This window comes from Homo sapiens, chromosome 6 (genome assembly GCF_000001405.40).
Source record: "Homo sapiens chromosome 6, GRCh38.p14 Primary Assembly".
Classification (NCBI taxonomy): domain Eukaryota; kingdom Metazoa; phylum Chordata; class Mammalia; order Primates; family Hominidae; genus Homo; species Homo sapiens.
Genome location: NC_000006.12, coordinates 75,416,744 through 75,429,395, shown reverse-complemented (window position 1 = coordinate 75,429,395; position 12,652 = coordinate 75,416,744). Strand labels below are relative to the sequence as shown.

The 12,652-nt window shown below is 37.2% G+C and overlaps 1 protein-coding gene, 1 long non-coding RNA gene and 1 other non-coding gene across 8 annotated transcripts in view; 1 reads left to right on the top strand and 2 right to left on the bottom strand.

Annotated features, from left to right (window-relative positions):
* Positions 1-12,652, top strand: part of FILIP1 (filamin A interacting protein 1) — a 201,942-nt gene that overhangs the window by 64,405 nt on the left and 124,885 nt on the right. The window lies entirely within an intron of this gene.
* LOC101928540 (uncharacterized) overlaps positions 1-12,652 on the bottom strand; it is a 75,715-nt gene that overhangs the window by 29,505 nt on the left and 33,558 nt on the right. The window lies entirely within an intron of this gene.
* On the bottom strand, positions 923-989 carry MIR4463 (microRNA 4463). The gene has a single exon (NR_039670.1). It is a non-coding gene; the product is annotated as a microRNA 4463 (primary transcript).

The following is a 12,652-nucleotide window of genomic DNA, read 5'->3' as shown; positions in this document are numbered from 1 at the left end:
ATGGAGCACAGCTTCTTCTTGTTGGACAATTCCTCTCCAGGACGTTTCTTTGACCACCCTACACACAGAGTTGGCCTCTTGCTTCCACCCATCCCCCTTGCATTTCTGTTTGCCATCCAGGCTTGTCTGGACTGGACCCAAACTCAATTGGTTTCGGAGGATAGATGGATAATAAACAGTGATGCTGGCAGAGTAGTTGTGTATGAAACCCCTGAGAACTAAAAATTCTTCTTTTTTTCTAAATTGAAACATGAAACTCTCTTGGTGTAGCTTTTGTTTTTCCCCTTAGGTACAGAGAAGAATTTCTCTGCAATAACAAAAAAACATAGTGCAAACATAGTAATAAACACATGGCAATTGACTCTTAGGGCTAAAGAGGTAATAGTGAGTAATAAGGATTGTGGTAAACTAGCTAGTAAATGCTCCATCTAAATGGATAAGCTACTACCCAACTCCAGCTAAATGTAGCTATGCAGGACTAAAGGTCAAGTGGTGCCAAATATTCTGACTTTTTCAACAAAATCTAAATGGATTATTTGTGAAATCTGATATAAAAATGTCTCATTAAGCACACACACACTGAAACCATGTCTGCAAAGAAGGTTTGGTCAGTTGGGCATCATTTTGTAATCCACAAGTCTAAACTCTCAAGCAGGGACCCTGCTGGAAAATGAATGATAATGTGGCATATAATCCTTTCATGGAAATAATTACAGTTAATATTATTTTTATCCAACTAAGACAAGTATTTCTAGTTTAACTTTGAGAAGGCAGAGTTGCTGGTTGAAATAGGTAGATATACTGGGGCTGGGGCTTCTTTGCAATTTTCTGGACTTAGTCCTACTTTGTCCTAGAGCATTTTTTCTCCATGTTTGGTCTTGGGACTAACAGCATCAGCATCACCTAGAAACTTGTGAGAAATGCAAATTCTCAGGCCCCACCCCAGTCTCACAAATTCAGAAACTGGAGGTGGTGACCAATAATCTATTAACAAGCTCTCCAGGGGATTCTGAGGTACACTGAAGCTTGAGCACCACTGCCCTAGGCTTTTAGAGGGAGCTTTTCCACTTGCAGTATGCTCCTGGAGCCCTGCAGGCTGGTATAGTCTTGGTACTCCTGCTCCTCCACCCTCAACACCAGGTTTTAGAAGCAAAGATATGCCTGATATGTGAACCGTGGGTTCAGCTTGGCTTTCCAAGAAAGTAATATTGGACTGAGACTCAAACAAGGAGGCTGGCACTTAGCAAAGAAAAGGGGATTTGAGAATTAAGTATGTTGAGAGGGAAGAGGAGGAAAAAGATATGTCTGCTGTGTTCTTCTTCCCCTCCTTCTGCCAGGGCTTATTTCACAAAGAAGAATAAGCTAGCGATATGATTTAAAGAAAGACCTTCCTCACTCTTCCTTCAACCCACCCTCTTTAAAAATGGCTACTTCTATTTTAATTTCAATCAAAAATCCTCTAGTGTTAACAAACAAAGACAGTGAGGAATATACAGTTACAGTAGTCATGCTGCCATGTGATTTAAATTTAACCAACTTGATTTCTCAACACCATTCTGTAATTCTGGAAGAGTGAGAGTTCAAAAGGATATGAGGGGTCATGTTTGGGCTTGGGGCACATTTCAAGGAAGTGAGGGATAGAGAGGCCTCTTCAAAAGCAGAATATCACTGGGATTTCATTTTAAAATTTTAGAGAAAGCATAGAAGAGGAGCATGGAAGGGAAAATGAGAAATGTGTCTAAAGTAAGGAGGTTAGGTGGGGCAGAGAGAGACGCAATCGATAGTTTTGGGGCAGAGTACTCCTGTACCATTCCCTCTTAATGAGAGGTCCTCACCAGCCTCCTCTGAGAGGAGCTGTACAGTCATTTCATTGTTGGAAAGACTGAATGAACTCTGGCTGCCTCCAGGCCCCATATGAGTCTTCTTGCTTTTCTTTTTCAAAATTAGAAAAAGAAGAATAGTGATGAGACTTAAAGGAAAATTTCTTTGCATGCATAGCCTGAAAGTCCTATAGTACTTTATAGTTTATAAAACTGTAACCAGTATTATATTTCAAAGTTAAGATACATGTAAAAGTCAGGGGCACAAGGCTAATGATTGATTTTTTATGACTGAATTCAACTTTGCTCTTTACTTACCTGTCCTATACTCCTTCCTTGTAATCCTTGCCAGAGGTAGAGAACTTAATCTATATATTTTCCAGTAAAATTTTATCTGGTGATTATTTTGTTGTTATTACATTCATGTATAAGTCAATCCTAGACCAAATCAAAATTCCATTATCGTCTTTCCTTTGCCTTCTCCCAAGCTCTCCTCCTTTATATCTTGGGGTATCACACAAACACTGAACATCAGTGTTGGGGAGTGGGAGGGAAGTTTGCTAGCATGGTAGTCTGGTGGAAGTAATGGGGGAAACACATCCAGTATCTAGTTTAGACTGGTTTCCCTGCTGCCATCGGGACTGGTTACATAATTTGGAGGGTCCCGTGCAAAATGAAAATGTGGGGCTGCTTGTTCAAAAATAAGAATTTCAAGATAGCTACAGCAGAGCATTAAACTGAGTGCAGGGCCCTGTGTAACTGTAATGGGTCACATGCCTGTGAAGCCCATCCTGCCTGTATCCTCTGTTGTCGTCTCTCAGCTTGGCCTCTGTTGAAGTAGTGCCCATGGTTCTTTCTTGTAAAATGCCCCTATCTCTACTGCTGTCTTGGAATCCCACCATAATTCACACAAAGGCTGCAGAGTCCTTCAAGTGTAGCTGTGCCTTCCATTTCAGCCCCAGTTTGGGTGACTGCTTGAAGCCATCTGCCTTGGTGACTCTCCTGTTAGCATGTCAGCTGCCTCTCCAAGCTACCTTCCACTTTTGCTGGGCACGTGGCCACTTCTGTATCTCCTCTGTATACTTAGTGGGCATTCATCGCTATCACCTCCTTTCTACAGTCACATATGGCTAGAACTGTATTTCCTGTCTGCATATCCCATGGCATGGCCAATGTCAGCGGAATCCTACTCTCAATTTTTACCCATGAAACAGAATGTCGGGTTCTTCCACCTTAGATTCCTCAAACTTTGTGGGAGAACCCTTTTATGTTCATGTCCTCTTTTGGTTTATCTGGAAGAGAAGAAGTGGCATTTTTTTTTCTTCTCTCTTATTTTCAGTCATTTTCTAATTACTGTAAACCAGAGGACAGAATGAGGAGTGGCAGAAACCATTTATATTTCTCCCAGTTTAAATACACTCATCATTTCTGTCACATAGTCTCGATCAGGGTTGGCAAACTAAGAACTAAGAGTCAACTCCAGCCACACCCATTCATGTATGTATTGTTTGTTGCTGCTTTTGTGCTACAATAGTACAGTTGAGTAGATGCAACAGAGACCGTATGGCCTGCAAAGCCTAAAATATTTAATGTCTGCCTCTTAAAGAAAATGTTTGCCAACCCCTGTGCTAGATGCTCACAGTTGAGAGTAAAGTAGTTTTGTCCCTGGTGCTACCTATATGAGGATAATGAGAGGTATTTGATGACTCCAATAGTTAATCTAGCATTGGTTAATGCTTCTTGCCTTAATATTTCTAGTAAATACTTTCACATACATATGGAGAGTAGAACAGGCATTATGATTTCACATACATACACAGTGGGTAGCACATCTAATACTTTATTGTCCTCATTTTACAGATGAGGACACTGTGGGTTGGAGAGTTAAGTGACTTGTCCAGCATTACAGAATACATGTGTGGGGTTAGGGATGCAGCTCCTTTGATTCCTTGGGGTTAATGGCAAACATCTCTAGGAGGATTCAGCATGTTAAGGAAACAAATGCTAAGGATGTTGATGTATGAGGTGATGAGACACCTTAAGGCCAGTGTGGAGCTGGGTGTGTGCTGAGGTAGGGTGGCTGGAGGGTAGAGAAGATAGGAGTCTAAGAGCCATTATGTGTTTGAAAACATTATTCCAAAAGGTGATGACTCATTTTCTTATATACTTCCTGCCCACGCTGAATCTGAAACTTCTGCATTGTGGCATGACATTTTAGATAAAAGAAATTTCTAGCGCACCTTAATTAGTTCATCACAAAGCTCTTCAACTTTATGGCTCTTGTCAGCCTTGGCATTCACATAGCAACTAAGTTTATGCTGATTGCTTGACAGTATTCAGAGTGATAAACATCTTTAAACATCAAATAAACATCTTTGACAATCATGTGGTTTCAGTTGCATTCACAGGATGTGTTTTAGTAGGAATAATTTTTACATTTCTCCTTTCTTGGTTTATGTAGTAGCTATGTCTGTTTTCAATTTAGGCTGTATATGCTTTGATTTAATCTAAGACAAGGGATCTCAGGGCCAATTAGAAGAGACAGAAGTTGGGAGAAGTTCAAAAAAGACACAACTTGAGTTCATACATTACAACTGATTTTAAGTTATTCTTTTATGTTATGAAATGCTCTAGGGATTTGAAAGTAAAGGCATTTAAAGGATACCTGAATATAGTTGACGTGTGTACAGGCGATTAGAACACATGAAGTCATAAGCAGCACACAGATGGGGTGATCTGTGCTGTATTTAATTTTTTTTCTTTGTCAGCATAAAGCAATGATATCATCCAAATCACAGCATGTCTTTCACCCCATGGAGGTTAACTTGTTTTATGAACATTGACCATCAACTGGGATTTGCCTCACATTTCTGGAAAATGCAATAAAGTTGGGAATATTTGCTATATAAAGACAAATATTTTTCTATCAGGAAATTTTGTACAGTTGGCTTAATAGAATAATTAATCCACAGACTAGAATTTTTAAAATTCAGTTACTTTAAAAAAACAGTTCTACTCATCCAGTTGTCATAAAATGTTTCTGTTTCTGGAGTCTTAATGACTTTTCCAATCCAAGAAGTCAAAAGTCAAGACTGTGAGGGCAAAGTTACACTTCACCTCCTTTGAAAACCTCAAGTATTGAGGAGTAGAAAGGCAGTGTGAGGAAGAAATGGGGAAAGAGAATGTGGTCTTAGAAGAAAGAGTTATTGCACAAATAAAAGAAAAAATTTTATTGGAATAGTGGGATTCTTTATCATTTATTATTGTTTGAGACTTCTTGGGGGATGCTATGCCCTGTGACTAAACTTATTTCAGCCCATGACAAGGTGACTGTAAATGCATTTGTATTGCAGTAGTATTGATGTGATGGCTAAAGCTTCCATTCAGACTTCTTGCACATGGAGAATCCAAACAGACCTGTGTTCTAGCTCAGGCTTTCCCAGGTGCTGGCCATATTGTTTGGGCAAATGGCTACAAGTCTGTAAGCCTCATTTTCCTTATAAGAAGTATAATTATAGTACTTGCTTTAGCAGGCTGTTATCAGTGTGTCAGGAAATGATTGGTGCAAAGGTAATAGTGGTTCCAGTCCATGAATTTTAAATCATTAAAACTAAGCTCAAACACATCTTTATTAATCAAAATAGGGATGATTACAATCAATACATTTTTGCCAATGAGAAATAAGTTTGTTTAATCCTGTAGCATAAAAATCCATGCTTCAGGATTCGATAAACTCTTGGAAAGCATTTTCTGGATCCTGCTGGTTGTGGAAGTGTTTTCCCAGCAAAAAGTTGTCAAGATGCTTGAAGGAGTAGTAGTAGGTTGGCAAGAGGTCAGGTGAGTATGGCGGATGAGGCAAAACTTCATAGCCCAATTTGTTCAACTTTTGAAGAGTTGGTTGTGCAATGTGTGGTCCGGCATTGTTGTGAATAACTGGGCCCTTTCTCTTGACCAAGGCCAGCTGCAGGCATTACAGTTTTCAGTGCATCTTATCGATTTGCTAAGCATATGTCTCAGATGTAACGGTATCGCTGGGATTCAGAAAGCTGTAGTAGCTCAGCCAGGCAGCAAACCACCAAACAGTGACCGTGACCTTTTTTTGGTGCAAGTTTGGCTTTGGGAAGTGCTTTGGAGCTTCTTCTGAGTCCAACCACTGAGCTGGCCTTCACCGATTGTCGTATAAAATCCACTTTTTGTTGCGCATCACAATCAGGTCGAGAAATGTTCAATGTTATTGTGTAGAATAGAGAAATGGTTCAATGCTATTGTGTAGAGTAAGAGAAGACAGCACTTCAAAATGACAAATTTTTAAATTTTTGCTCAGCTCAGGAGGCACCCACTTATCAAGCTTTTTCACCTTTCCAATTTGCTTCAAATGCTGTACAACGTAGAATGGTAGACGTTGAGTTCTTCAGCAACTTCTAGTGTAGTTGTAAAAGAATCAGCTTTGATAATTGCTCTCAATTGGTCATTGTCAACTGATGGCCAGCCACTGTGCTCCTTTTCTTCAAGGCTCTTATCTCCTTTGCAAAACTTATTGAACTACCACTGCACTGTATGTTTCTTAGCAATTCCTGGAACAAATGTGTTGTTGATGTTGCCAGTTGTCTCCGTTGCTTTACTACCCATTTTGAACTCGAATAAGAAAATCCCTCAAATTTGCTTTTTGTAACATCATTTCCATAGTCCAAAATAAATATAAAATAAATAACAAGTAATAATTGATTAGCAAAAAAAGCAAGAAATGTACATTAAAATGATGTATAACAAACCATTTATTTAAGAATGTATTCCAATATCAAATGGCAAATTTCAACAATGCAAAAACTGCAGTTGCTTTTGCACCAATGTCTATCAGGTGGTTAAGCCACTGCTCAGTGCATCATAAGCTCTTCAGTTAATGTCAGCTATTATTATTGCAAACAAAGGTAATATTTAAGAATAATTCAGCAAATAGAGACTGCTGAGATAATGCCTAAGGTACTTGTCTTTCTGGCTACCAATAGGCTTGTTTTGTTAGTGGCAGGAAAATGGCTGATTCTTATTCAGTTCTGAGCCTGATGAAATACAGGAAGAAATTCTAGTCCTGGCTAACTAGGAGTCTGGTAATTTTCCAGACATTTCGAAACTTTAATTAAACTAAATGGTGACATTCCCTTTTCTTCAGAGGCCAGATGGTATTACTAAAATGTCTGAAAAAAATTATAGTAATCAAGTAGAAAAAGTAAAGGTAAAATTTACCAGAAAACAAAAGAACTTTCATAATCACTTAAGTGTGAGGGTCTTACTCTTTTTGTTTAATCAATGATTATATATTACATGCTATGTCTAGTAGTGACAGTGACATCAGAATTATAATAATAAAGAATTATAAATATAAAAATATTTTAACATGTACTTGAGGTTCAAGGATGAATCACTGATGTTGAAAATGCCAGAAAAAATTATGTCATTATGTCATCACCACTGTATATAACAGTATATTACTAGATAGTTAAATGCTTTTCTCTTTTGTATAATTGAAAGTAACCTTTTTCTGTGATTGAAGTAAAAAGGAAAAAAGTTAAAAACCCTGTTATAGATACTGGAAGTGAGTATAAATAAGTGAAGTGTAATACCCACGCTGTAAGATCACAGATCCTGAAGTCATGGGATGTGTTTAGGAAATACTCATGAGACATGAGTCCTGGTTCCAACTATTCCATTGATCAGCCGTGTGACTCTGAGCCTCAGTTTCCTCAGTCGTAGGAGTAGACGGGCTAGCATGCTAGTTATTTTAGGAAGATAAAATAGAAACGCTATTCTTATGCAAAGTTATTTGCACTCTAGATGAGTCAACAAGATTAATACCAGGAGCCATTCAAGAACCACGCTAGACAGTATTACTAAGCCCTAAATGGGTGATACAAACTAGATGTGCTACGGGAGTTTAGCAGAGGAAGTCAGTACGAGCTGAAGTAGGGAAGAGAGATGTTGTGGAGGGACAGTGAGGAGGAGTAGTGAGGAAGGGTGCTGATGTTTCAGGCTCAGTGACAAGGATATAGTACAAGAAGTTCCAGCCTCAAGTTTGAGGGATCCGGTTGAATCTTGCGGTAACCACCCAGGACTCAAGTCTCATGAGTATTTCCTAAACATATACCATGACTTAAGGATCTGGGACCTGTGTCCTGGTTACCCTGTTGCCCTGTGGAGCCGATACATCCCTAGCTTTAGAGTAATTGGGAAAATTCAAACAATTTGCATCTCTTTTACTTTCTACACTGCCAGCATTTAGATGCCCAAGTACGTTCCCACTCATCTAACCACTTTCCATCCTGCAAAATTGTGTTGACATCTCTCATCCTCATCTGCTGTCATTTATACTCCTATTTTCTCTGTCATCTTTTGTTTCTTTATTTTTATTTTAGTGTGTTTCAGCAGAGAGTGGAAATAAATGCAAGTTTTAATTCACCATGTTTATCCCAAAGTGCACGTTACTATCATGAAAATTTTATTATTTTAGTGTTAGAAATCTCTCCAAATATTGCTAATTGCTTTTGGCATCTGTTAACAACAAGTGTATCTAAATATTTCTCCTTTCTAATTATATTTTATCTAGTTACTTTAATTGGAAGCAATGAGTTCTATAAACCTATATTCTAATATGTAAAATGTTATAAATTCAAACCGTCAAATGGTGTCTATCAATTGGTATTTCAATGATTTGAAGAAGTCTTATTAAATGTCCTTAAACAGATTATGTTTGGGGCAATAACAATAATATAAGCAAGTGTGAAAAGTGCCAAGTAATTAATACAGAGAACAAGCAAATGTACAAAATTACCCAGGAAGGAGAAATGGCACATGTTGGAATAGTCAGACGAGGCCTGAAGAGTACAAGGGAAGAATAGGCCATTTTAAGAAAGAAATTCATGAGTGAAGATATAAAAATAAAATATACCAGACATAATTTGTAATCAGTGACTAAACAAACATGATAAATGTATGGGAGGCATTGAAAGGTAAGACTGGAAATACAATTTTTTGGAAAGTGGAGGATCTTGAATAGTAGGTCATGGCTAGTGGAATGGAAAGTAGAGGACAGCTACCGGACACATTATGATAGAAGAGTCATCAATGTGGGGATTTTAATTAAAATGTTGGTAAGAAAGGTTACCATCTATCACCATTCAAAGTTTAAAACTCAAATTGTACATTCTTTTAGACTCCATGCTAATTTTAAAAGATTTCTTATTTCATGGCAGTTCCCTGATCTATTCTCTTGTTATTTTTTGTCTTTTTTTTTTTCTGGAAATTTTTCTGGGCCTACTGGTATTGTTCTTGAAGGATATTAAACAGAACGTCATAAAATATTTCACCATAGTTTTAAGCTGGAGTAGAATAATATTTTTCTATTTGCCACAGTATGATATTTTCCTTGGCCTTTTCATGACAACATCACTGCAGTGACTCCAAGAGAATCCCTTTCTCTGAATTCTAACATTTTGTGAAATTACTTACAGGAATTTTCAATTAGTCTGAATAGATCTACCCTAATAGGATAAAAAATACTTTAAGTAAAAACCTTAGTTATTTTTTAGGATTTAATAAATGTAGGTAATTAGAAGTAAAACAAATATTTTACGTGGCTTGTTGCATAAATGGGATGAAGACAAGAAAGGAAAATTTAGAGGCAACTTGGGAACATTTCTGAGCAATATATGCTATAGAATACGTGATAACCTCATGAGAAATGTTTGAACATTTCGTGAGTTGGGATATTTATATGCGGATTTAACCAATAAGATAACGCACACAGGAAGTAATCTGGCATTGATAGGGAATAAACTAGTTGATTTAATTGGTCTTTTGCATCTGAAAATTCACTGATGACATAAAACTAGAACAGATGTTTTCTTTTTGAGTTTTGGGTGCCTTGGGTATTGTCATTTATGTGTAAGAGAAAGAGTCAGGACAGTTCTGTGGTAATGTTCTGGAAGCTCCACTTGCAGCAGGCCTTTTGCCAGGCCACCTTGTAAAATCTCGGCTTTTTTGTAATTATGTGCTTTCCTTTTTTGCTATGATAATTTTTCCTCATAATTCTATAATTTTAAAATAGAAATTAAGTATATAAAATTATTATGGCATCTCATTCTATGCACTAGGTAGGTTCTTGAAAATATATATAGATAAAATAAAACCAGGAACAGACAGGGGTTGGATACCTGAGAAGCATAGCAAAGATGCCAAAGCCTAATTTATACAGAAAAGAAGTTTTTGTTGGTGGTGGGATGGGGAGTATTTTGACCAATGTTGAATCACAACACAAAAATACAAATCTGGAAAGGAGCAAGAGCAAAGGTGAGAGTGCTAGGGAGAAAATTCAAGGTCAAGATTTGCAAGAGCTAAGGAAGTCTGGGAACTAGAATTTCTGTAGACATTTTTTGTTTCCTTTTTTTTCTTTTCTTGTTCAAATGCTCTAGAAATACTTGTTAATTCAGCATAAATGACTAAAAGGCTTTACATTTGCTTATTCCTGTGATATTTTTCATCTGACAGTATGCTCTGGCATTGTCCAATTAATGGGAGGCTGCAGGGGGTGGGGGGGACGCAGATGAAAAGGAGAGAGGACCATAGATAAAAGAGGGAGGCTCAGAATAACATTTGATCTTTCTTTTCTTCACACTCTAGTTAGCAAATTCCGTGTAAATTATTGTTGACTACTATGAATGGAAAAGTAAGTATATTTTATGAACTATGTTAAGATAATTTGCTTATCAAAGAGAAGCATCTGTGCTCCAGTTAACACTGATTTTTTAAAAAGGGTTATAAAACGTGATTTGAATCTTCAGTTTATTTATATATTTTTCTTGGGGAGAACCTTTTTTTAAAGGATATACACTGGGATGATTTGAAGGCATTCTTGGCTTCTTTCAGAAAATGCTATCTACACACCTTAAACTTGCAGCCATGCAATCAACTGTAGGAAGCCTAAGGAGTTCTGGATGCCTTTTCTGTTACCTGCCTGCTACCCTTGTAAGCACAATAGACAGGATTTGGCCAACACTGATGAAGTGTTTACTATTGTTCAGCTCCAGGGCTTTTAACACAATGAGTCTGTAATTGTCCCTGTTCAGACTTTACATCCTGTTTTCATAACTGTACCCTTAATAATTGACCAGATTGCTTCTCAGGAAGACTTTTGAATGATTCATCATCTTAGAAGTTCTGCAGAAGGTTAATTATTTCAGAAAACATATTATTGCTGAGTAACCTAATTTAAATTGCTATGTGAGTGTTGCAAGAGTGTCTGTGGAGGAAGACATATATATGGATTTCTCAAATTTTGTTATGTGAAGTGAGAAAACATCTTAGCATTTGTAGCTTTTTCTCTTTTTTGAGACGGAGTCTTGCTCTGTCGCCCAGGCTGGAGTGCAGTGGCACAATCTCGGCTCACTACAACCTCTGTCTCCCAGGTTCAAGTGATTCTCCTGCATCAGTCTTCCTAGTAGCTGAGATTACAGGCGCACGCCACCATGCCCAGCTAATTTTTGTAGTTTTAGTAGAGACGGGGTTTTGCCATGTTGGCCAGGCTGGTCTTGATCTCCCGACCTTAGGTGATCCACCCACCTTGGCCTCCTAAAGTGCTGGGATTATAGGTGTGAGCCACCGCGCCTGGCCTCTGACTTTTTCTTGATCCCCTGATTTATCAGGGATAGCCCCTCTTCCAATTAGCATATGTTTAAGAACTTCGAGGAAAGCCGTAAGGAAAGCTGTATAGTGGGTTAGTATTTAGTGTCCGACCTGAGTTCAAATTCTAGTTTTTCTCTCCACTAGGAGTAGCTGTGTGATACAGGAAAAGATATTTAATTTATTTAAACCTCAGTAGCTTCATCTATAAACCTGAGAGAAATAGCACCTACTTCACAGGGTTGATGTAAATACTAAACAAGGTGCTGTATGAAAAATGCTTCCTATACTGTGTAACACTTAAGAAGCAGTAAGTGAGAGCTATTAAAAATATGAAGAGTATAAATGTCACTAAATGTGACACATGCAAGTCCATTATTGCTTGGATGTTTTCCCCCTCCAAAATAGAATAAAGCATTTTAAAGTGTACATTATTTATAGCAGACTTAGTTATTCTTTTGAGAAATTATGTTTATCTTCCTCATAGATGCTAATTCCTTGCTAAAACATTCTTGATTCATTTGTTATTGCTGAGTACTTTTGTATTCCTGAGATAGAACAGGTGCTGATTGCTGACTTCATTGTGAAGATAGATAGAAGACCTCATTTATCTAACTGAGAAAGGACTAAAAATCTTTATGTTCATGCCAAAGGAAAAGTAATTAATGTGAAATTTCAATATCAGAAAAGAAAAATATTTGTTAAGACAAAATTAACCTCATGGGTCTACCACATGAAATTTTCCATCAGCCAAAGTGAATTAATGTGGAAGGGAATAGGAGACTAAAGCTTTCAACCTGAATAATGATATAAAATAATTACATAATTCTAAAATGGGTGGAATTTTTTGTGTAAAAGCCATTAATATAATACTATAATAAACTTTATTTTAAAATATTAATTTCAGAATGAAATTTTTAGAAAGAACTAATATAAAATTGATACTAATAGATTATTTTCTGTATGTTTGCAGATATAATTGTGATTGAGTAAATGCATGTAACATAATACAATCAGATTTAAATACTGTGTAAGATTAAGCACTTCCTGTGCTTTGGGAACTATTGTCTGGGATTTCTGTTAACTCATGATTTAATGATTTAAATTAAAGTTGTCAAATCAATATTTGGTATGTCATCTCAAAGAGCTTTAAGATCTTATAG